General features: G+C 45.2%; 1 protein-coding gene across 16 annotated transcripts in view, besides 7 other annotated features; it reads right to left on the reverse strand.

Moving 5' to 3' along the window:
• Nucleotides 1-1,340: 1,340 nt before the first annotated feature.
• The window catches only part of RSRP1 (arginine and serine rich protein 1), a 96,006-nt gene continuing 72,867 nt past the window's right edge, over nt 1,341-24,479 (reverse strand). For 3 of the 16 annotated variants that reach the window (NR_135788.2, NR_135789.2, NR_135777.2), the window contains exons 2-4: nt 5,536-6,121; nt 2,642-4,393; nt 1,341-1,797 (exon numbers count right to left, since the gene is read on the reverse strand). Coding sequence is in view for 2 of the 16 variants with exons in the window: in NM_020317.5 (NP_064713.3) it covers nt 1,681-1,797; nt 2,642-2,725; nt 4,242-4,393; nt 5,536-6,055 (873 nt within the window). In the remaining 14 variants the exon portion in view is untranslated. Of the gene's footprint in view, nt 1,798-2,641; nt 4,394-5,535; nt 6,122-6,400; nt 6,547-24,479 lie in introns of those variants that run through there. The other 13 variants (NR_135785.2, NR_135783.2, NR_135781.2 and 10 more) reach the window with 13 other exon arrangements.
• Nucleotides 5,337-6,061: an enhancer, noted in NCBI's record as "H3K27ac-H3K4me1 hESC enhancer chr1:25572736-25573460 (GRCh37/hg19 assembly coordinates)". NCBI's record gives its function as "activates a minimal SCP1, AML or CMV promoter by ChIP-STARR-seq in naive H9 embryonic stem cells {active_cell/tissue: H9 hESC(naive)}" and the evidence as "EXISTENCE:reporter gene assay evidence [ECO:0000049][PMID:30033119]".
• Nucleotides 6,062-6,786: an enhancer, noted in NCBI's record as "H3K27ac hESC enhancer chr1:25573461-25574185 (GRCh37/hg19 assembly coordinates)". NCBI's record gives its function as "activates a minimal SCP1, AML or CMV promoter by ChIP-STARR-seq in naive H9 embryonic stem cells {active_cell/tissue: H9 hESC(naive)}" and the evidence as "EXISTENCE:reporter gene assay evidence [ECO:0000049][PMID:30033119]".
• Nucleotides 12,672-13,188: an enhancer, noted in NCBI's record as "NANOG-H3K27ac-H3K4me1 hESC enhancer chr1:25580071-25580587 (GRCh37/hg19 assembly coordinates)". NCBI's record gives its function as "activates a minimal SCP1, AML or CMV promoter by ChIP-STARR-seq in primed H9 embryonic stem cells {active_cell/tissue: H9 hESC(primed)}" and the evidence as "EXISTENCE:reporter gene assay evidence [ECO:0000049][PMID:30033119]".
• Nucleotides 13,189-13,706: an enhancer, noted in NCBI's record as "NANOG-H3K27ac hESC enhancer chr1:25580588-25581105 (GRCh37/hg19 assembly coordinates)". NCBI's record gives its function as "activates a minimal SCP1, AML or CMV promoter by ChIP-STARR-seq in primed H9 embryonic stem cells {active_cell/tissue: H9 hESC(primed)}" and the evidence as "EXISTENCE:reporter gene assay evidence [ECO:0000049][PMID:30033119]".
• Nucleotides 17,976-24,479: part of a meiotic recombination region, noted in NCBI's record as "upstream Rhesus box that can recombine with the homologous downstream Rhesus box", that runs on past the window's edge. NCBI's record gives the evidence for it as "EXISTENCE:nucleotide sequencing assay evidence [ECO:0000219][PMID:10845894, PMID:15752150]".
• Nucleotides 23,677-24,479: part of a sequence comparison, noted in NCBI's record as "sequence_comparison; region almost identical to the corresponding region of the downstream Rhesus box", that runs on past the window's edge. NCBI's record gives the evidence for it as "EXISTENCE:sequence similarity evidence [ECO:0000044][PMID:10845894, PMID:15752150]".
• Nucleotides 23,677-24,479: part of a chromosome breakpoint, noted in NCBI's record as "breakpoint region for unequal crossing-over between the upstream and downstream Rhesus boxes to result in a single-hybrid Rhesus box with a deletion of the RHD gene", that runs on past the window's edge. NCBI's record gives the evidence for it as "EXISTENCE:nucleotide sequencing assay evidence [ECO:0000219][PMID:10845894, PMID:15752150]".

Below are 24,479 nucleotides of genomic sequence, written 5' to 3' on the forward strand. Positions count from 1 at the left end.
CCAGCTGTCAAGATTCTCCAGTTCATAAAGTGTAATACCCACTTAAAATTTTATGTGCTTAACGGTCAGGCGCAGTGGCTCACGCCTGTAATCCCAGCACTTTCGGAGGCCGAGGCTGGTGAATCCCCTGAAGTCAGGAGTTCCAGACCAGCCTGACCAACATGGACAAACCCCATCTCTACTAAAAATACAAGCCTGTAATCCCAGCTACTTGGGAGGCTGAGGCAGGATAATCGCTTGAACCCAGGAGGTGGAGGTTGCGATGAGCCAGGATTGTGCCATTGCACTGCAGCCTGGGCAACAAGAGCAAAACTCCGTCTCAAAAAAAAAAAAAAAAAAAAAAACGTGCTTCATATTCTTCCCAGCCGGGTGCAGTGGCTCACACCTGTAATCCCAGCACTTCGGGAGGCTGAGCAGGGTGGATCACCCGAGGTCAGGAGTTCTAGACCAGCCAGGCCAAGATGGCAAAACCCCGTCTCTACTAAAAATACAAAAACTAGCTGGGTATGGGGGCACATGCCTGTAGTCCCAGCTACTCAGGAGGCTGAGGCAGGAGAATCGCTTGAACCCGGGAGGTGGAAGTTGCAGTGAGTGGAGACTGTGCCACTGCACTCCAGCCTGGGTGACAGAGAGAGACTCGGTCTCCAAAAAAAAATCATTCCCAGTTACAGTAGCACCAATACATTTCAAATTAAGAGTTTATTTAGAATACTTTGGCCGGGTGCAGTGGCTCACACGTGTAATCCCAGCTCTTTGGGAGGCCAAGGCGGGTGGATCACAAGGTCAGGAGATCGAGACCATCCTAACACGGTGAAACCCCATCTCTACTAAAAATACAAAAAAATTAGCCAGGCATGGTGGCAGGCGCCTGTAGTCCCAGCTACTCGGGAGGCTGAGGCAGGAGAATGGCGTGAACCCAGGAGGTGGAGCTTGCAGTGAGCCCAGATCGCACCACTGCACTCCATCTCAAAAAAAAAGTTTACTTAGAATGCTTTTTTAAAAGCATAATAATTTTAACTATACCTCAGATTTTACAGCTTAATGAGGCATTCTATTCCTCCTCTTTCTGGCTTAGTTTCTTGCCTTGAAGCCCAGTATTCCATAAATTTTTTAGGGCAATTTTTCAAGTTGAAGTATTGACCTCAGTTGGGAATATTGTTAAAATTCAGTTTCTAATTCAGCAGGTCTAGGGTAGGGACTTGAGATTCAGCATTTCTCAAAATCTCAGGTAGGGCCAGTCAGCCTTGGACTTGGGATTAACAGGGCTTTAATCAACACACACCACCTTATATCTCTACATTAAATAAAGATCCATTAGGTTATATATATACAATAAAGACTAAGAATGAAAACAAGAAATTTATTAAATATACAAAACAGGAATACAGTTCAATTACTGTGTCTAAAAAATTTCATTTTTACATAACCAAGACAATATTTACAACTATATACAAAAGACTCCCACCTGTGCATAACCTTTGGTCCATCTGTGCTATCTCTCATATCTGCAAGAGAAACCTAAAATGTTAATATTTGAGTGTTAAGTATTTACATCTTTTTGTGTTGGTTTTTAAATGCACAAGTACCCCTGAATGGCTCAAAGGGATGGGATAATGCTAGAAACACTAACTTGCAATAAAGTGCAGTTTTCATGCAAACTTAGCCATCAGTTTTCTTCTTTTAGATAGGTATCCACAGTCCATATGGACTTTTTTTCTGATCTATTTTTGGTGATCTTGAAGATGCCTCTTCTGTGGCAGCTTTAGCTGATTTTTGTATTGGCTTTGCTACAGAATTCTGTAAAAGAACAAATTCAGTCAGCTTCCCAAACATACATTGTACACTTTTTTCACAAAAAAAAGTACATTAAATAATCCCATGTATGAGCCTTAGAGATATTATCAATTGCTGGGCGCGGTGGCTCACGCCTGTAATCCCAGCACTTTGGAAGGCTGACACGGGCGGATCACGAGGTCAGATGTAGACCATCCTGGCCAACATGGTGAAACCCTGTCTCCTAAAAATACAAAAATTAGCCGGGCGTGGTGGCATGCGCCAGTAGTCTCAGCTACTCGGGAGGCTGAGGCAGGAGAATCGCTTGAACCCAGGAGGCAGGCAGAAGCTGCAGTGAGCCAAGATTGCACCACTACACTCCAGCCTGGGCAACAGAGCAAGACTCTGTCTCAAAACAAAAAAAAAAGGATTATCAACCAAACACATAGTGTGAACCTTAATTGTAGCTTGATTCAAAAAGTGAAGTGAAGATACTGGGGCAGCAGGGAGACACTGGACATACACAAGATACACAAGGTATAATGATTTTGAGGCTTCGTTTTTGAAACTCTTATTTTAAAACATTGTGATTAAGGAGTATTCTAAAGATTTCCCTTTAAAATATTTCAATAAAAAAGGGGGGACACTTAAAAGAATGGCAAAATATCGGAACTAACGTGAATGTTATATATATTACAAACCCATTATAATGGCCACTTATAAAAGTGGCTCAAAAACAAATGATTTTAATTCTATTTAAAAAGTGTGTCAGTAGGCCCCCAACTATCACCACAAAGATAAAAACACAAAGATGCAAAAATACATCCTAAATCCAATTTTTGAGTGTTCAATGCCTGGATATACTTACATTAGAGCTAAAAGCTATGCTTCTTTGCTGGGTAGGTTTTTCATTGGGATTTCGAGTTCCATCTTCTGTTACCTTTTCCGACAGCTAGACAGGTTAAGAAAAAGTGTAATTTTAAAACACATACCCTTGGTTTCTAAATCCTATATTAAAAAATAGCCTAATTGTAAACAAAATTTAGCTGTAGACACAAAAATCAACTTGGATCTAACAGCCTAAGTAACAGAACTATTGAGTTTTCCCCTTAACAAAACTGATTTAATATTAGGCTTAAGACACTCTTCCCATAATTATTTTACTTCCCTGCTGGCAAATTTAAACTAATTTTTTAATCAGTTTTCTCAGGTTGAATCAAGTTCACTTTTGAAATGTAAAGCCACATCAGAAAATACGTTTTAAGAAACTAAGGCATTTGCCAGTTAGGCACCTAATCGTCTGAACAAAGACCTTGTCTACTAATACTGAGCAAACCCACATCTGGGCCCAATTACACAGATTCATTTAGATACAGCATTTTTTTTTTTTAAGCCCCCGAGACGGGAGTCTTGCTCTGTCACCCAGGCTGGAGTGAAAAGTACAGTGCAATTTGCTAATGCACATCCTGCACATTTCTGGAGAATTATAATAAACTTATCTGCAAGTGAAGCAGGCCTCCTCTTCTGTAATCTCTCAAAACATCTGGAATATATTGCATATATTATGAAAGGGACATCTTTTTCACAGATGCCCCACCGTTACAACGTGTACCTTTGCTTAGTTTAAAAATTGACTTTAATACTTTATGCAAATAGTGCCTGTCCCAAATTCTAGCATGCACATGGATCTACCAACAAAAAAACTAAGTTTTCAGTGTGTGAACATAAACTTCAAATTAAACCTCTGATGCTTTAGCCCATGTATCAATTACCAACAGATTTTCTTCATCAATGTCTGCAGACCACATTCATGATTTCTATAAGACAGAAATAGAGCAGATAAACTATACTGTATATGCTGAGTACAGAATTTGTGGGAACATAATGCTGCAAATGAAAGCTACAAACACTCTGTAAATAGCTTAGAAAAACTAGTAATAGAAATCACCAAAGTACCAGCTAATAACGGTGTTATAAGAGTACACTGTTAACTGAAAATGAAAAAAATAAATGTATTTTTTGAGACAGGGTCTCGCTCTGCTGCCCAGGCTAGAGTGCAATGGTGCCATCTTGGCTCACTGCAACCTTAGCATCCTAGGCTCAAAGATCCTCCTGCCTCAGCCTCCCAAACAGCTGGGACTACAGGCATGCACCACCATGCCTGGCTAATTTTTGTATTTTTTGTAAACACGCGGTTTTGCCACATTGCCCAGGCTAGTCTTGAACTCCTGGACTCAAGCCATCTGCCTCATTACAGGCATGAGGCACCATGCACGGCCAAATAAAGCTCATTAATCTCCCATTTTCATGGGTTTGACATTGCCTATCTTCAGATTTGCTACTTTGAATTTAGCACATTATATACATCTCTAGACTTCCCAAAAAGTATAGTCTAAGATATAAGTGGCTAATCAGATTTGACAGTTGGCTTTCTGAAAGTTTTGTTCCGACAAACCTAGAATACTTACTTCAGGCTTTGCACCATTACTTGATACACCTATTCCACGGCTTGTTTCTTTGGCTGAAGGAACAGTTCTGAGACTAGCTGGCAAGTCAATGTTGGTTGTTCCTAGAGCTTTCGCTGCATTGGTTTTTGCTATTTCTAACAGCTCCATTCGATCTAAAAAAAAAAGAGAGAGATTTTAAAATACTCATTAATCTGGTAGTTATTTCCCAAGAGAACTCAGAATTACACAATAAATATGTTATTTTGTGGTATTAAATATATTAAGTCACTTGTTTTATAATAGGTAAACTAAGGTTGCCCTTGAACACTAGTAGCTGCGCTGGTCCACTTTATACTTGTTTTTTCTCCCCCTTACTAAATGCAGATAGAAAGTACCACAGTGTTTGAGAGACTGTAAACCCCAAGTGTGCGCGAGGGTTCCATATGCATCCTGGCACCAATCCCCCGAGTGAACAGAGGGACAACTGTGTAACTTTATTCACTGAAAATTCTATTCTCCAGCTCATTTCTTGCTGAAAAGAATAAAATTCTTAAATTATCTCAACAATTAGTTTTGTTTTCTTGACTAAAGGCCTGAGCGTCCTATTATTTTGTCTTTTTGTTGTACTTAATTTTCTCTAGCTAATAGTGATATTATTTTGCTTTCTCTTCAAAGATGTATTTCTGAAAACCAGGTTTTTCTGCTGTAGATTCTTTATATAATTATCACAACCACTGAACCAATACTGATACACTACTAAAGTGTATTTCTACCACCACCCCCGGCTAATTTTTGTACTTTTACTAGATAGTGAGCTATGTTGGCCAGGCTGGTATGGAACGCCTGGCCTCAAGTGACCCACCCGCCTCCGCCTCCGCCTCCCCAAGTGCTGGGATTACAGAGGTGAGCCGCCGCGCCCGGCCTCCTAGGTCACTTAGGATACTCGACAATCCAATTTTATTCAGTAATAATGTCAACTAAAAGAAGGCGTGTTTTGATATTGTTCTTCCCAATCACGTTAACTTAGAACCTTTAACTTAATCATAACATTTAAAAGGCTCCACCCACTAAGAACAGTCAGCCAATAGGAAAAAAAGTTCCCTACATCCTGAGCCATTTAACATCCAGTTGACCTTTAACCCTAAAGAGAATGCTGTCCACTTAAATACAGGTAATGTCCTCCCTCTTTCCTCCAAAAAGATTTCGGGCACTAAAGGAACTAATATTGAAACTACACAGCAACGTTGGTTCCCTAGCCTACTCATATACTGCCACCATACATTACCACAAATGGAAAGGTAAATGACCCACCCACCTTTTTCACTTAAGCGAAAGGGGGTTCTGCTCCGCGACCTCGTCCTGGATCTGTCCCTCCATCTGCTGTGCTCCTCCGGGTACACTGTGCGACCAAAGCCGTAGTAGCGCTGTCCCCGCGCGATCGCGTACGCCCTTCCGCAGTACGACCTTCCCCGAGAGCGCGACCTGCTACGGGACCGGGACCGGTACCGCGAAGGAGACCGGTAGTATCTCCTGGTGAACCCGTAGCGCCTCTCTCGGTAACGGCGGCTGCGGGATCGCGACCGGCTCCGCGAGTATGACCGCGAGTAGCGCCTGTACTTCCGCTGGTGGCGCCTTCGGGAACGGGACCTGGACTTGCTCCTCCGACTCCTGGACGAAAACCGGCTCGAGACGCGGGAATGGGACCGAGAGCTTCTGGAAAAAGAGCGGCTCCTAGACCGCGACGACAGCCGGCTGGACCCGCCCGACCGCGAGGTCGAGGGCGAATCCTTCTCCTGCGGCGAGCCCGGCCACATGTCGTTCACGTAGTTGGACATCTTCACCTGCGGCTTTAGCCTGCGCTTTCTCCGGAAAGGATCCCGCAAGCCTCAACTCAGGACTTCCTAAAAAACCAAGAGAGAAAAAACAAGTCGAGTCGCGGAAGCCGGCGCCTGGCCACCCGGAAGCCACAGTCGGGGAACCTCCGGGAGGCGGAGCCACGGCGCGGGCGGCGACCGCCGCGACAGGAACCGAGCCCTAGAAACCCCGCTCGGCGCCCTGAGGCCGCGGCCTTGAAGCGAAACGCTGCGTTCCCCAAACGCGGGGCCCGGCACGTTTCCCGTCCCTCACTCCTGAGAGACCACTGCGGTGGTCCTGAGAGACCCCGTCAGCAGAAAACTTACCGCACGCCGTCGACGCCTCCCTCACGACTGAGAGAAAGGCTCAACAGACGCCTTCCTTTCGGAACGTAAGACGAAGTGGGGCTTTTAGTCCCTGCTTTCGAACGGCGAATTCCACAACCTCCACCTCCTACGTCCGGATGCGCACTGAGGGACTACGTTAGCAGACGCGTCAAAAGTACCAGAAGCTGGCCCCCGGCGCATGCGCAGAGATGTTCCGTGGTGGGCGCGGCTCTTCTCTTGCCCAACCACCGCCCTGCCTCCTCCCTCCCCAAGCCGCGCCCTGTGCCTCGAGCGCTTGCCTCCAGGGTGCGCATGCGCGATGGGGCTCCAGGGGGAGGTGTTTGATACATCAGGGTGTCCCGTTGCCCTTGGCTTCCCCCCTGATCTGAGATAATTGCGGGACCGACCCAGTCACCAGAAAACTTCGAAGATGGAACGGCCCCGCGTGGGGCTACACCAGGCTCTGGCCTCACTGCACGGGCGGGGCTGGACGTCAGTGCCGGGCGGGGAGTAGGGCCGGGAGAGGAGCGGCTGCAGGCTGGAGAGGGCTCGCAGCCGGGCTCGGAGCTGGGGCCGTCTGACGGGCTGGTGCCCACAGGGTCGTTGCCGCCACCCACCGGCAAGTCGCAGACCCGGCCTGAGCCTCCCTGGACCCTTCCTGGCCTCTTCCTCCTGTCCTAGGTACCGCGGCGCCAGGAGAAGGCGACCGCGTCCACACCCCGCCATGACAGAGAGGGGACCTCACCCTCCCCCGGAACACCCCAAGACCCCTGGAAATGCAGTATTAACGTAGAAAAGATGTTTTACTTCCATGTTTTGGCTAGGAAGGTAATAAGGTCGAGACAAAATAAAAAGACTCAAAACTGACCTTTAATCTGGGGATAATAATGAAGTCTGCGATATCTCTTCCAAAAACTGTGTTTGGTGTGAGTGTAAACAAAGGTGACTATTTTACTTCTAGGGATCTACAAATGGGATGCATTTCAAACACTTCTTGTAATAAAGCATAACAATTGCCTTGAAAATTGTGGGTTAATTGCCTTTTTTTTTTTTTTTTTTTTTGAGACAGGGTCTCACTCGCCCAGGCTGGAGTGTGGTGGGGCCATCACGGCTCACTGCAGCCCAGGCTCCCGAAGAGCTGGAACTACAGGCATGCACCACCATGCTAATTTTTGCACTTTTTTACCCACGGGATCTAACTGTGTTGCCCAGGCTGGTCTCCAACTCCTGGGCTCAAGCGATTCTTCCGCCTCAGCCTCCTGAAGTTTTGGGATTACAGGCGTGAGCCACTTTGCCCAGCCTATACACTTCTTTACAAGTACATTTTGACAAAAGCCACTTTCTTTAGAGGGAGACACAAACTCACTCATCTCTTGTTCATCTTCACCCCACATCTCCGCAGTTCATCCACATCTCCTGAGGATGCATCATGATGGAAGTAGTTCTTAAACAGTTTCTTCTCTAAATCTCAAGACAGTGAAGATACAATGCCCATCCATCAGAAACCTTTGCCGAAAGTTCTCATAAAGCTGTGTGAGTGGACAGAAAAATAACACGAGGCCAGTCGCGGTGGCTCACGCTTGTAATTCCAGCACTTTGGGAGGCCGAAGCGGGAAGATCACCTAAGATCAGGAGTTCGAGATCAGCCTGGCCAACATGGCAAAACCCCATCTCTACTAAAAATGCAAAAATTAGCTTGACATGGTGGCGGGCGCCTGTAATCCCAGCTACTCGGGAGGCTGAGGCAGGAGAATTGCTTGAACCTGAGAGGCGGAGGTTGCAGTGAGCTGAGATTGCAACACTGCAACCCAACCTGGGCAACAGGAGCAAAACTCCGTCTGGAAACAAATAATAATAATAACAACACGAGTTTCACATTTGACAAGTATAAAAATGATGTGTTGGGGAACTAAAGTATACTTACGATACAGTTTTGAGCTCTTGGTTATGAATAGGAAAGGATGGAACAAGTCTCCGTAGACAGTTCAAAGTATCAGTCAATGTGTGCCTAAAAAATGGTGACCAGAAAAATCCTAATTTTTTTTTTTTAAGACAGTCTCGCTTTGGCGCCCAGGCTGGAATGCAGTGGTGTGATCTTGGGCTCACTGCAACCTCTGCGTACTGGGTTCACACAATTCTTGTGCCTCAGTCTCCCGAGCATCTGGGTTTACAGACGTGCACCATCATGCCCAGCTAATTTTTTTTGTATTTTTAGTAGAGATGGGTTTTCACCATGTTGGCCAGGCTGGTCTTGAACTCCTGACCTCAAGTGATCTGCCTGCCTCGGCCTCCCAAAGTGCTGGGATTACAGGCGTGAGCCACTGTGCCCAGCAAATCCTGGATATTAACAGGATTTTGGAAACAGTGGGAAACATTACTTTGCCCTCGTGCAGAATGCTGGTGTATTTGTCTCAAAAACATACGCGGTCTACCTGAGTTAAAGTCTGCAAAGTCACCTTCCTTTATTTCTCTAAACAGTATATATTCTCTGAGCATCTATCCACTCACCTAATGAAAAAAATTCAACTTTAGTTATTAGAACATCTAGCACCGAATTTGTAGGCTAATGTAGGCAGAAATAACATCTTTACAATAGCAAATCTTCCCATCTAAGAATGTGACAATGTTGTAACCAAGCGAGATAGAGAAACGCCACACTTGGAGACAAATTGTGGAGTCCTTTATTAGCCGGCAACCGGGAGACAGCTAGCGCTCAAAATTCTCTCGGCCCTGAAGAAGGGGCTAGATTTTCTTTTATACTAAGGTCTAAATAGGGGAGGGGGGTTTAACTGAAGCAGTTTTACAGAAGCAGAATAGGCAAAAAGTTAAAAAAGTTAATTGGTTATAGAAGCAGTTACAAAAAATAAACAGTTCCAGGTACAGGGGCTTAAACTATCACTAAGAGATAAATGCGGGGGCTTTAGGTACCTTCCACCGAGCACATTCCCAGGAGCTGCTGGTACAGCTTGCCTCAATATCTTATCAGCAGGTGAATTCCTGGATGTGCTTGGAGTCAGCTTGCACTAGTTACTCCCTTAGGGGGATAAAGAGGGCTGCAAGCAAAGAAACTAAAATGGAGTCTGTCCGGCTCTGTCTGCTAGGAGAGAGTCACTCAGGTTTAAACAAGGTAGGGTATCACAACAAGTTTTAAATGTGCCATTTAAGTTGGTTTTTTGTTTATGTCCTTCATTATGGTTGGCAAACCAATCGCCTCCCAAACATGTCCATTCCCTAATTTCCTGGAACCTGTGAATATGTTACCTTAAGGTGACAAAAGGAATTATGCAGATGTAATTAAGGTTAAGGATCTGGAGATGAGATTATTCTGAAGTATCTGGGTAGGCCCAATCTAATCTCAGGAGAGAGTCAAAGCATGAGAAGAATTCCATGCCCTGTTGCTGCTTCTGAAATGTAGGGGCGGGCCAGGCGCGGTGGCTCACGCCTGTAATCCCAGCACTTTGGGAGGCCAAGGCAGGCGGATCACCAGGTCAGGCATTTGAGACCAGCCTGGTCAACTTGGTGAAACCCCATCTCTACTAAAAACACAAAAATTAGCCGGGCGAGGTGGCGTCCGCCTGTAATCCCAGCTACTCAGGAGGCTGAGGCAAGAGAATCACTTGAATCCAGGAGGCGGAGGTTGCAGTGAGCTGAGATCACACCACTGCACTTCAGCCTGGGCAACACAGCGAGACTCCAACTCAAAGAAAAAAATAATTAAAAAAAAAAAAGAAAGAAAGAAATGTAGGGGCTTATGTGCAAGGGCAGGGAAAGAACTCTAGGGGCTAATGGTGGCTTCCAGCTGACAGCCAGGAAACAGACCTCAATCCCACATCATAGAACTGAATTCGGCCAACACATGGATGAGCTAGTGTTGGGGATCTTCCCCTAGAGCCTCCAAAAAGAAACAAAATGTGACTGACACCTTGACTTTAATCTGGTGAGACTCCTCACCTATAGAACTATGAGATATTAAATTTAGGTTGTTTTAAGCCACTAACATTATGGTTATTTATTACCACAGCAATAGGAAAATAAAACATTCAGTATAATTTATAGTTTTCCTTTTTTTTTTCTTTTTTGAGACGGAGTTTCACTCTGTTGCCCAGGCTGCAGTGCAATGGCTTGATCTTGGCTTACTGCAACCTCTGCCTCCCGGATTCAAGCAATTCTCCTGCCTCAGCCTCCTGAGTAGCTGGGATTACAGGCTTGTGCCATCATGCCTGGCTTATTTTGTATTTTTAGTAGAGACGGGGTTTCTCCATGTTGGTCAGGCTGATCTCCAACTCCCAACCTCAGGTGATCCGCCCACCTCAACCTCCCAAAGTGCTGGGATTACAGGCGTGAGCCACTGCGCCCGGCTCAAAGTTAATATTTTTGTTAATTTTAATGACAAAACTAATTTTTTATCAGGTAAAGGAATCCAAAGATGTATACAAGCTAACGATCATTCCCTAGAGGTATAGAATCCTCTAAAAGAGGTCTCCATCCTTCTTCCTCATATCTTAGAGATAACCAATGTTAACAGTTTAACGAGTGCCCTTCCACAGTTTTCTTCAAGACATGTCAAATATACCCACATATAGATTTTTTTTTTTTTTTTGAGACAGAGTCTCGCTCTCTTGCCCAGACTGAAGTGCAGTGGTGCAATCTCGACTTACTGCCACCTCTGCCTCCCTGGTTCAAGTGATTCCCATGCCCCAGCCTCCCAAGCAGCTGGGAGTACAGGTGCACGCCACCACGCCTGGCTAATTTTTGTTGCTGTTGTTGTTTTGTGAGACAGAGTCTCACTCTCTCACTCAGGCTGGAGTGCAGTGGCATGATCTCGGTTCACTGCAACCTCCCTCTCCCAGGTTCAAGTGATTCTCGTGCCTCAGCCTCCCAAGTAGCAGGGATTACAGGCACATGCACCACAGCTGGCTAATTTTTTTTTTTTTAGTAGAGACATGTTCTGTGTGGGGAGTGCACAGGTACAAGCAAACACACAGCACTCACACATAAGTGCAGATTGTAAACTACTTTAGGTTCATTTAAGTATAAAATAGAAGGTGCATTGAGCAAATAGCAGTGAGGAAAAAAAAACAATCAGCATATATACACTCACCAGACAATGGAGGATTCATCACCAGACCGGGAAGCAACAGCCTAGGCTCCAGAGTCAGCCACTGGTCCATGCACAGAGAAGGAGAGGTCTCGTGGAGCTTCAGCGTAGTCTGGGACCCTGACCTTTTTTTTTTTTTTTTTTGAGACGGAGTTTCACTCTTGTTGCCCAGGCTGGAGTGCAATGGCACGATCTCGGCTCACTGCAACCTCCGCCTCCTGGGTTCAAGGGATTCTCCTGTCTGAGTCTCCTGAGTAGCTGGGATTACAGGCGCCAGCAACTACGCCCAGCTAATTTTTGGTATTTTTAGTAGGATGGGGGTTTCACCATGTTGGCCAGGCTGGTCTCGAACCTCTGACCTCAGGTGATCCGCCCACCTTGGCCTCCCAAAGTGCTGGGATTACAGGCATGAGCCATCGCACCTGGCCTGACCTTTTTATAGTATTCTTTTTGGCATGAGGCCTAGGCACAAGGGCCTTTTGTCATTGGACTCAAGGAACACGGAAAGGTCAGCCTATTTTCAAGGTTTTGTTTATTGCCTCGAGGCAGATGATGTATTTATCAAGAACAATCAGTATGTCCATCCGTTCCTGAGCAAGTGCCCAGGGACAGATTTCTGGCACGTAACCATTCCTTGTGTTCAAGTCCAATTGAGTTCAAATTTAATATTTAACTTTTACTCCACAAGAAGGGGTTTCACCATGTTGGCCAGGCTGGTCTCGACCTCTTGACTTCAGGGGATCTGTCCACTTTGGCTTCCCAAACTGCTGGGATTACAGGCATGAGCCACCACATCGGTGCATACAGAATTTTTGATGAATATGGGCTCGTTCTAAACAAGTTGAAACTTATAATCAACATCCTTTAAGAGAAATCACATAGATCTAATGTGTTTTGGTTTATCAGCTGTATCGTATTCCATAGTTTAGAAGTACTAGAAATTGGTCTATCCCATTGTTTTGTTTTTTTGTTTGTTTGTTTTTGAGATGGAGTTTCGCTCTTATTGCCCAGGCTGCACGGTCTCGGCTCACTGCAACCTCCGCCTCCCGGGTTCAAGCGATTTTCCTGACTCAGCCTCCCGAGTAGCTGGGATTACTGACATGCGCGACCACGTCCAGCTAATTTTGTATTTTTAGTAGAGATGGGGTTTCTCCATGTTGGTCAGGCTGGTCTCGAACTCCCGACCTCAGGTGATCCGCCCACCTCGCCTCCCAAAGTGCTGGGATTACAGGTGTGAGCCACGGCGCCCGGCCTATGCCCCATTTTTTATTCATGGACATGCATATGGTTTCCAGTTTTTTCACTAAATACAATGCCTCAGAACCATCCACAGATATCAGAGCAGTCACAGAGCTCCTCCACAGGCCCCTAATCCACAAGCCCAAGGTCAAAGAGCCATGTACAAGACAAAGTTGGAGCAGCTGATTGCAGTGAAAACCCCAGCACTGCTCCAGGAGTTTCCTCCAACGGTGGTGGGGGTCAGCTTAGCTCTTTCAGACAGGATTAGAGGAGCGTATCCAAAGTGTGAGAGCTACAAAGAGGAAAAAGGAGCTCTGAGTGATTTTGACACAGATGATACATTTGTTGATCTTAGATCAGAGATTAGTTGAGATTAGACATCTCCGTTGTTAGGGCTGCTATAGAATCATAGCTACAGTCACCAGTAAAGCATTCAAGGCAATTAACACATCAACAAACATGGCCTTTTTTAGGATGTCCCAAGGAATTCCTGCTGCTGGGTGAACCATCACCCCATAGGAGCTCACTCCACTGTTTGCAATTACTGAGCCTTGGTGTAAGTCAGCTGATCTTCCTACTGCTCCTCTTAGTGATGGTTTCCTGGGTTGATAGCTGTAGTGTGGAAATATCAGGCTTGCAGTGCTATACAGGAGGCACCCTTGATAAATTTAACACATCTGTTCCCTGCCATGAATACCTAGTATGTGAAGATGCTATCTGTAATATTCACCAGGGAAGCCGATGACTCTGTCCAATTACAGCCACCATATAGAGATGTTATGAATAGGTTTTTGTTTTGTTTTGTTTTGAGACAGAGTCTCACTCTGTCGCCCCGGCTGGAGTGCGGTGGTGTGGTCTCAGCTCACTGCAACTTCCACCTCCCCAGTTCAAGCGATTCTCCTGCCTCAGCCTCCTGAGTAGCTGGGATTATAGGCGCCTGCCACCATGCCAAGTAATTTTTTGTATTTTTAGTAGGGACGGGGTTTCACCATGTTGACCAGGCTGGTCTCGAACTCCTGATCTCGTGATCTGCCCACCTCAGCCTCCCAGAGCACTGGGATTACAGGCGTGAGCCACCAGGCCCAGCCGAATAGTTCTGTATCACATCATTCAGCTTTGGGGGGTGTCTACTGAAACCAGGGCAAGCAAAAGGACAACACACAAATCCAGATATGTATTTGTCAATATTATTCTTGATAAGTCATACAGGTGCAATTACTGGTAGTGTCACTACAACGGAAGAACCGATTGGTGCCTCTGTGTAACTGAGAATGAGACAGTCACGTCCGTGCCTAATGGCCATCTGTATTGCTTGAGGACTGGTCTGCTTTGCACAAAATATAACTCTTCCACGCACACTTTTGCTCACTACGGTGTTGCTACTCAGTCAGAAGAGCCATCTCAACCATACCCACCTTAACATCAGAGAAACCATTATTAACCATATATGGATTATGTTACACAAACTTCACAGGGAATTTAACTTCGGTGATGGCACAGTCATGGGCAATGGAATAACTGGAGAATGTCAACTGGGTCCAGAACAGAAAAACGAGAAATACTATAGAAGGCTAAGTTACTGATGCTATAAGAGGCTTCCTTTTTGAAGGTTATATGCAGTCTACTTTGTGTCCTGCTCCCCCCAAATCCTTTCACGGCCTCTACTTGATCATACTTAATTTTTGCAACTTTGACTCAACAACCAAATGATCACAGGTAATGTCTTAGGAGATTTAGCACTTGTCTGGCCCTGTGTAAAGATGAACTGTTCGATCCTCATGCTGACAACAAATAACCTTTACTTCAAGGTACAATGCAATGAAGCCATTATTTTTACAACCAGTGAAATGGGATCTTATAGAGCAGCAGTCCCCAACCCTTTCGGCAACAGGGACCAGTTTCGTAGAAGACCATTTTTCCACAGCTGGGGGTGGGGGGTTGTTCTGGGATGATTCAAGTGCATTACATTTATTGTGCACTTTATATTATTATTACATTGTAATATATAATAAAATAGTTATACAACTTGCCATAATGTAGAATCAGTGGGAGCCCTGAGCTTGTTTTCCTGCAACTAGACAGTCCCATCTGAGGGGATGGGAGACAGTGACAGATCATTAAGCACTAGATTGTCATAAGGAGTGGCAATCTAGATTCCTCGCATGCACAGAGTTCGCTCCTGTGGGAATCTAATGCTGCGGCTGATCTGACGAGAGGTGGAGCTCAGGCAGTAATGCAAGTGATAGGGAGTGGCTGTGAATACAGATGAAGCTTCACTCGCCCACCGCCTGCCTCCTGCTGTGCGGCCTGGTTCCTAACAGGCCACAAATGGGGGGTTGGAGACCACCTTCCATTGGCAAAGGGTGATACATATCAACCATTCGGGCCAATAAAACAAATGTGCTCAGAGAACCAGCTCTGAACGTTGTTCCCATGTTCAGCAACTGTTTCGTTAAACGCTATTAATGGATAAGTTTTTCCTGGAAGTCTTCTATCCGGATCTTTTTTTTTTTTTTTTTTTAAGAGACAGAGTCTCACTAGCTCTGTTGTCCAGGCCGGAGTGCAGTGGCGCCATCCTAGCTCACTGCAGCCTCAACTTCCTGGGCTCAAACGATCCTCCCGCCTCAGCCTACTGAGTAGCTAGGACTACAGGCATGCGCCACTACACCTGACTAATTTTTAAAAAGAGTGTTTGGTAAAGTCCATGTAGCCCAGGCTGTTCTCACACTCCTGGCCTCAGGCAAGATCTTCCATCCCAGTCAGCTAAAGCACTGCGATTACAGGCATGAGCCACCATGCTGGGTCCCATTGAGATTTTGTTGCTGTTATTAGACAGAGTCTCACTCAGTCACCCAGGATGGAGTGCAGTGGTGTGATCATGGCTCACTACAGCCTCAACCTTCCAGGCTCAGGTGATCCTCCTACCTCAGCTCCCACCAGTAGCTGGTACTACAGGCACACACCACCACCATACCCAGCTAATTTTTTTTGTATTTTTTTGTAGAAATGGGGTTTCACCATATTGCCCAGGCTAATCTTGAACTCCTGGGCTCAAATGATCCTCCAGCCTTGGCCTCCCAGAATGCTGAGATTACAGGCGTGAGTCACCGTGCCTGGCTGCCCCATCGAGATCTCACAGGAGGCCCTCACGTGCTTGACTTCTTGTATTATGCTATTGGACCTAAATCTGATTTCTCTGGAGTGCATCAGGCATCTCACAATGAGTCCACTCACTTGAACAGTTCTTTATGGCGTGTCAAGTTACCTTCACTTGCTTTCCTCAGTCTATTAGACTGGTTTCTGGATTTGACCTTTTGGGCAGCCTGGCTTGGAGGCATATTATGCTTTGTAACACCTGCAACTTCACTGGGAGCCAAAGCCACATGCTGCTTTAAGTAGTATTACTTTTATTGCTATATTACTTTTATTCCTAAAGTGGAACAGCTAGGTCGAAGGAGCTGTGTCATTTAATACACTTCAGTATTGCCTTCCAAAAAAGGTTGTCACGACAATGTATGGGAATGCCTTCTTGATCTCCCAGACAGGTTTTCCTCCAATTATAGGTTATCCTGCTTTCCTGTGCCTCCTATTTTTAGCATTTATCACGCTTGTAATTAAATAATTAAGGTTTTAATTTATTTTTAATGTGTGTTTCCTCCCAGAATATAAATTACATAAGGAGAGAAACTTGTTCTTACTCTACCCCAGCATTCCAGACAGTGTATTTCATTTGGCATTCAATTGGTGTTTACTGAATGAACAAATGAAAAAGAATCTCAAATAGGTCTGAAGGGAACAGGCAGAGGGAAAATAATATTTTAGAAACAAAAGTCTTAGCAAACTTGGAGTTAGAAATGCCCATTTTAGAATTTGGGGATAGAAGAAAAACTAGCTTGACTAGAGCAAAGGGTTTATTGTGGGGAATTTTGGAAAATAAGGCTGGAGATGCAGATTTTTTTTTTTTTTTTTTTTTGAGTCAGAGTCTCGCCCTGTTGCCCAGGTTGAGTGCACTGGTGCAGTCATGGCTCACTGCAGCCTCAACCTCCCAGTCTCAAGTGATCCTCCCACCTCAGCCTCCCAAGTAGCTGGGGCTACAGGCACACGTCTCCATGCCCAGCTAATTTTTTGTTGGTGATGGTATTTTTTGTAGACATAGGGTTTCTCCACATTGCCCAGGCTGGTCTCAAACTCCTAGGTTCAAGTGATCTGCCCACCTCAGTCTCCCAAAGTACTGGGATTACAGGCGTGAGCCACCATACCTGGCCCACAGAAATAGATTTGAGGCAGACTTTGGGGAGCCATGAGTGTCAACATCTACTTGTGAAGCAGCAGGATCCTCATTCATCAGAAATAATCTATTTCCTAAAAGCTGACTGAATACACTGAGATGGCAAGTAGCTTTACCTAACTGGATGGGAGGAAAGAAAACGCTTCCAGGATGTGGGGGCAGAGTGTTCCAAAGGCTTTTAACCTTAACATATGCTTTGCTTAAACAAATACCTGAAACACCTACACTACAAAAATGCATAATCTCATTATTTATTTATTTATTTGAGACAGAGTCTCGATCTGTTGCCCAAGCTGGAGTGCAGTGGCACAATCTCGGCTCGCTGCAACATCCGCCTCCCAGGTTCTAGTGATTCTCCTGCCTCAGTCTCCTGAGTAGCTGGGATTACAGATGTGCACCACCATGCCGGCTAATTTTTGTATTTTTTGTAGAGATTGGGTTTCATCATGTTGGCCAGGCTGGTCTTGAACTCCTGACGCTGTGATCCACCTGCCTGGGTCTCCCAAAGTGCTAGGATTACAGGTGTGAGCTACCGTGCCCAGCCGGCAACTGGTGTTCTCATGGGAGAAGAAGACTTTTTGGAAGACCCTGTCATTGCGTTTGTGAGACTGGCTCCTGCTGTCCTCCTCTCAAAGCTATCTGAGGTTTCTGTTGCTATGACATAAATAATTAGTTCCAATTATTCTCTCAGTAGGTTCAAAACCAAAAATTTTTATCTACTGAATGAACAAGAATACTGCTTTATGTAATAAAAACTCATTTAAATTTTTAATATTCAGTCATTATACCAAATACTTTGAGTATTAAAGCATAAAGAATTATCTTTCTTTCTGGAACCAAACAATGAAATAAATATCTCTTAAAAAAAAACTGCATTTGTACTCTTATAAGAAGTTTGGCATCATAGGAGATTTGGCCTAGAAAACACTTTGTCATTTTAGAGGTGTTATCCAATGTTCGCGCAGGCACTGGAGTCAGAGAAAATGGAGTTGAATCCTTTCTCTGCCACTCTTTGAGGAGAATCTCACCATTTATTATGCACTGTAGAATACAACAATAAAATACAGCCATGTACCACATAACAACATCTTGGTAAACAACAGACTGCATATATGATGGTGGTCATCCAGTAAGCTAAGGTTAATTTATTATTATTCCCTTTTTTTTTTCTTTTTTTTGAGATGTAGTCTTACTCTGTCACCCAGGCTAGAGTGCAATGGCACCATCTTGGCTCACTGCAACCTCTGCCTCCTGGGTTCAAGCGAATCTCCTGCCTCAGCCTCCGAAGTAGCTGGGAATTACAGGCACCCACCACATCTGGCTAATTTTTTGTATTTTTAGTAAAGATGGGGTTTCACCATGTTGGCCAGGCTGATCTCAAACTCCTGACCTCAAGTGATCTGCCTGCCTCGGCCTCCCAAAGTGCTGGGACCATAGGCCTGAGCCACTGTGCCCGGCCTTGTTTGCTTTTTTAACAGTTAACAGTGTGCTCATAGAAACTGCTTTGACATGACTGCAATCATGTGCTTCATAGAAACTTAATTAGATTATACCACTAGAGTCTTCAGATTTTTATACTTTTTTTTTTGAAACGGAGTCTCACTCTGTCACCAGGCTGGAGTGCAGTGCCGCAATCTCAGCTCGCCGCAACCTCCGCCTCCCAGGTTCAAGTGATTCTCCTGCCTCAGCCTCCCGAGTAGCTGGGATTACAAGTGCACACTACCACGCCCAGCTAATTTTTGCATTTTTACTAGACAGGGTTTCACCATGTTGGCTAGGATAGTTTCACCAGGATCTCTTGGCCTCATGATCAGCCTGCCTCGGCCTCCCAAAGTGCTGGGATTACAGGTGTGAGCCACCGTGCCCAGCCTATACTTCCCTTTTTGAATACCATTTGGCGTTTTGAAGAATTAACAGCTTTGTGAACGTGGCAGTGCTTGTGATTCAGGCTTCCACTGAGACCAAGGGGAGAACCTGGTTGCAGGACAAACAGACGGACAGCGTGTGGCAGTGTTTAAATGCTCTTCTGAAGGCTGATACGACAGCTCTCTGTGCACTGATTGTATACGCATCCCAAGATTATATTATTGTTTTCTATTGCTATGTGTCACACTTTGCCAAACAGGATGTGGAAAATGAATAAGCGGTTTTCTTAGGCACTTCTTAACAGACAATTGGTCAAAATGAACTCCATTGCTTAAGAAACACATAAACACCATTTAGTCACTGAATATAGCTATATGTATGGTTGCTACTATGGGGAATCTTGTTTTGCCAATTTTCTTTGAAAATTCTGGCAGACCAAGGTTCTTTTTGTTTACACAATACTTGAAAAATAAAAATGAACAAGCCAACAAACTACCAAGTTTTCACTTACATAAATGTAGTTACATACAGAAAATGTGACTGTGAATTTTTTCTAGGACTTTTAAACTATAAGCACTATTTGCACGAAAGAGAACCAATCTATCAATTACAAACTCACATAATTTTACAGATTTTTTTTTCCCTACACAGCACATAAAACAGAAGGAATTTGAAGCCACCCTCCAAACACAGGGGAAGGAGGCTGTGTGTATATCCTCATTGTCTTTCACATTCTAAGGTGGTTCCACTCAGTGACTGAAATCCTTAAGTGTTGTATTAGTCGGCTTGGGCTACCATAACAGCAGCTTAAACTGTTGTTAAGCCACTCAGACTTAAACAACAGAAATTTATTTCCTTATAGTTCTGGAGGCTGGAAGTTCAAGGTGCCGGCAAGGCTGGTTTCTGGTGAGACCTCTCTCCCTGTCTTGCAGATGGCTGCCTCCTCCCTGTGTCCTCATAGAGCCTGTCCTCTGCTTTTACACTTCTGGTGTCATCTTCCTTTTTTTTTTTTTTTTGAGACAGAGTCTCGCTCTATCGCCCAGGCTGGAGTGCAGTGGCCCGATCGATCTCGGCTCACTGCAACCTCTGCCTCCCAGGTTCAAGCAATTCTCCTGCCTCAGCCTCCCGAGTAGCTGGGACTACAGGTGCCCGCCATCATGTCTGGCTAATTTTTGTATTTTTAGTAGAGACAGGGTTTCACCATATTGGCCAGGCTGGTCTCCAACTCCTGACCTTGTCATCTGCCTGCCTCGGCCTCCCAAAGTGCTAGGATTACAGGCGTGAGCCACCGCACCCGGCCTCTTTCTCTTCTTATAAGGACACCAGTCCTATTAGATTAGGGCTCCACCCTCATGACCTCATTTGACCTTAACTATTATTTCTTTAAAGCACCTATTTCCAAATATAGTCACTTTAGGGGTTAGGGCTTCAAAATATGAATCTGAGGGAGATCAATTCAGTAAATAGCAGTAGTCATTAACGGACAATATATACAAAGATAATTTCGTGATTACTGTCCTTATGCATAAATGTCCTCAGTGTTCCACTGCCTTTATCCAGATTTACTATCACAAAGACTTTGCTCTGAGAAAAATGTGATTTCTTTCTTTTTTTTTTTTTTTTGAGACAGAGTCTCACTCTGTCACCCAGGCTGGAGTGCAGTGGTGCAATCTCGGCTCACTGCAATCTCCGCCTCCCAGGTTCACGCCATTCTCTTGCCTCAGTCTCCCGAGTAGCTGGGCCTACAGGCGCCCGCCACCCTGCCCAGCTAATTTTTTGTATTTTTAGTAGAGACGGGGTTTCACCATGTTAGCCAGGATGGTCTCAATCTCCTGACCTCGTGATCCACCTGCCTCAGCCTCCCAAAGTGCTGGGATTACAGGCATGAGCCACCGCGCCCAGCAGATTTTTTTTTTTTTTTTTTTTTTTTGAGATGGAGTCTTGCTGTGTTGCCCAGCCTGGAGTGCAGTGTTATGATTTTGGCTCACTGCAACCTCTGTCTACCATGTTCAAGCGATTCTCCCACCTCTGCCTCCCGTGTAGCTGGGATCACAGGCACACGCCACCACACCTAGCTACTTTTTGTATTTTTAGTAGAAATGGGGTTTCACCATGTTGGCCAGGATGGTCCCGAACTCCTGACCTCAAGTGATCCTCCTGCCTCGGCCTCCCAAAGTGCTGGGATTACAGGTGTGAGCCACTGTGCCTGGCCAAAAATGTGATTTCTTATTTCCCACATTGCCAATTCCATTTCAATTAACTATAATAGCTATGTCTATTGAGCACTCAAGTGTATTCTAGAAACTGTTCCTGATTCTGGGGATATATCCATGAATCAACTATAGTCCCTGTTATTAAGTAATCTGTAGTCTGACTAAACCATTAGAAATTTAAAAAATGGCTACTTTCAAAGACATCTTGGAGTTCAGGAGTCCCACACTGCGAACCATATTACCTAATAATCCAACCTGCTTGTAATTCACTTATTTAACCAATATTTATTGAGTGCCAACTTTGAGCCTAAGATACAGCAGTAAACAAATGGATAAAGTCCCTGTCCTCATGAAACTTGTATTCTAATGGAAGAAACAGAAAACAAACAGATATAGGATGTAATATCAGGTAGGGATAAATACTTTGAATTCAAACAAAAGTATACGTAGTCAGGGTTCGCCAAAGAGACACAGCCAATCGGATACATAGATATATAAAAGAGGGTTTATGAGTTAGAAAGGGCTCACATGATTACAGAGGCTGAGAAGTCCCACAGCAGATTGTCTGCAAGCTGGAGACCCAGGGATACTGGTAGCATGGCTCAGTCCAAGTCCCAAAGCCTCAGAATCAGGAAAGCTGATGATATAATTCTTAGCCCAAAGGCCTTAGAACCCCAGCGGTGACGGAAAGGCTGATGTAGGTCCTGGAGTCCTGAGACCCAACAGCCTGGGATCCTGAAATCCAAGGGCAGGAATGGAAGCGTGTATTCCAGCTCCAAGAGAGTAAGACCAATTTGCCTTTCTTCCGTTTTTGTTTCAAGCCACCTGCACATTGAGGGCGGATGGTTCCCTCTTAGTCCATTCAGTCATATATCAATCTCTTCTGGAAATACCCTCACAGACACACTAACAAATAATGCCTTTCCAGTTCTCTAGGTATTCTTTAATCCAGTCAAGCTGACACCTAAAATTAACCATCACAAAAGTTAAGGAGAAAGAAGACAACTTGTAGGGGAGGCTGCTATGCAAGACAGTGTGTGAAGGAAGGGCTCTCTGAAGAGGTTAATATCTGAGCAGAGACTTGAATGAAGTGAAGAAGTGAGCCATGTGGGTATGGGGAATACAACTTCCAGGTAGAGAAGACAAGTGTGGTGTGTATCAGGGTCAGCAAAGAAGCCATGTGACAGAGAAGGGTGGGCCAGGGAGAGACGGATAAGTGATCTAACTCCTGAGGAGGTGGCCTGGCCAGGAGCTAGAGCATGAAGATCTCGTAGGACTTTATTCTGCAAGGTGAAAAGCCATTGTATTAGTCTGTTCACAAACCCGAGACTAGGCAATTTACAAAAGAAAGAGAGGTTTAATGGACTTACAGTTCCACATGGCTGGGGAGGCCTCACAATCATGGCGAAAGGCAATGAGGAGCAAGTCACGTCTTACGTGGATGGCAGGCAAAGACAAAGACAGCTTGTGCAGAGAAACTCCCCCTTATAGAGCCATCAGATCCTGTTAGACTTATTCACTATCACAAGAACAGCACGGGTAAGACCTGTCCCCATGATTCAGTTACCTCCCACTGGGTCCCTCCCACAACGCATGGGAATTCAGGATGAGATTTGGGTGGGGACACAACCAAACCCTATCATTCCACCCATGGCCCCTCCCAAATTTCATGTCCTCACATTTCAAAACCAATCACACCATCCCAACAGTCCCTCAAAGTCTTAAATGATTTCAGCATTAACTCAAAAGTCCACAGTCTAATGTCTCATCTGAGACAAGGCAAGTCCTTTCCATTTATGAGCCTATAAAATCCAAAGCAAGTTAGTTACTTCCTAGATACAATGGGGGTACAGGCATTGGGTAAATACAGCCATTCCAAATGGGATAAATTGGTCAAAACAAAGAGGCTACAGGCCCATGAGAGTCCAAAATCCAGTGGGGCAGTCAAATCTTAAAGCTCCAAAATGATCTCCTTTGACTCCACATCTCACATCCAGGTCACGCAGATGGAAGGGGTGGGTTCCCATGGTCTTGGGCAGCTCTGCCCCTGTACCTTTGCAGGGTACAGCCTCCCTCTCAGCTGCTTTCATGGGCTGGCATTGAGTGTCTGCAGCTTTTCCAGGTACACGGTGCAAGCTGTCGGTGGATCTACCATTCTGGGGTCTGGAGGACCTCTTCTCACAGCTCCACTAGGTGGTGCCCCAGTAGGGACTGTGTGTGGGGTCTCTGACCCCACATTTCCCTTCTGCACTGCCCTGGCAGAGGATCTCCATGAGGGCCCTGCTCCTGCAGCAAACTTCTGACTGGGCATCCAGGCATTTCCGCACATCCTCTTTAATCTAGGCGAAGGTTTCCAAACCCCAATTCTTGACTTCTGTGCACTCGCAGTCTCAACACCACATGGAAGCTGTCAAGGCTTGGGGCTTGCACTCCCCGAAGCTACAGCCCAAGCTCTACCTTGCCTCCCGTCAGTCATGGTTGGGAGTGGCTGGGATGCAGGGCACCAAGTCCCTAGGCTGCACACAGCATGAGGACCCCGGGCCTGGCCAACAAAACCATTTTTTCCTGATACCTCTGGACCTGTGATGGGAGGGGTTGCCATAAAGACCTCTGACATGCCCTGGAGACATTTTCCCCATTGTCTTGGGAATTAGCATTTGGCTCCTGTTACTCATGCAAATTTCTGCAGCCAGCTTGAATTTCTCCTCAGAAAATGGGAATTTTTCTTTTCTATCACATTGTCAGGCTGCAAATTTTCCGAACTTTTATGCTCTGCTTCCCTTATAAAACTGAATGTCTTTAACAGCACCCAAGTCACCTCTTGAATGCTTTGCTGCTTAGAAATTTCTCCTGCCAGATACTCTAAATCATCTCTCTGAAGTTCAAAGTTCTACAAATATCTCGTGCAGGGGCAAAATGCCGCCAGTATCTTTGCTAAAACATAACAAGAGTCCCCTTTGCTCCAGTTCCCAACAAGTTCCTCATTTCCGTCTGAGACCACCTCAGCCTATGGACTTTATTGTCCACAGTGCTATCAGCATTTTGGGCAAAGCCATTCAACAAGTCTCTAGGAAGTTCCAAACTTTCCCACATTTGCCTGTCTTCTTCTGAGCCCTCCAAACTGTTCCAAACCCTGCCTGTTACCCAGTTCCAAAGTCACATACCCATTTTTGAGTATCTACGGCAGCACCCCACTCTACTGGTACCAATTTAGCCACTGAAGTAGTTGGAGAACAGAAGTAATAGACTCTGGTTTACATTGTAAAAGCTTCTCTGTGGCTGCTGTGTGAAGAAAATATATGAGAATGAAGCCCCAAGATGAAGCAGGGACACAGTTGCAGTGGTTAGAGTAAGAAATGCTGCTGGCTGGCACTG

Source organism: Homo sapiens, chromosome 1 (assembly GCF_000001405.40).
Source record: "Homo sapiens chromosome 1, GRCh38.p14 Primary Assembly".
Lineage (NCBI taxonomy): Eukaryota > Metazoa > Chordata > Mammalia > Primates > Hominidae > Homo > Homo sapiens.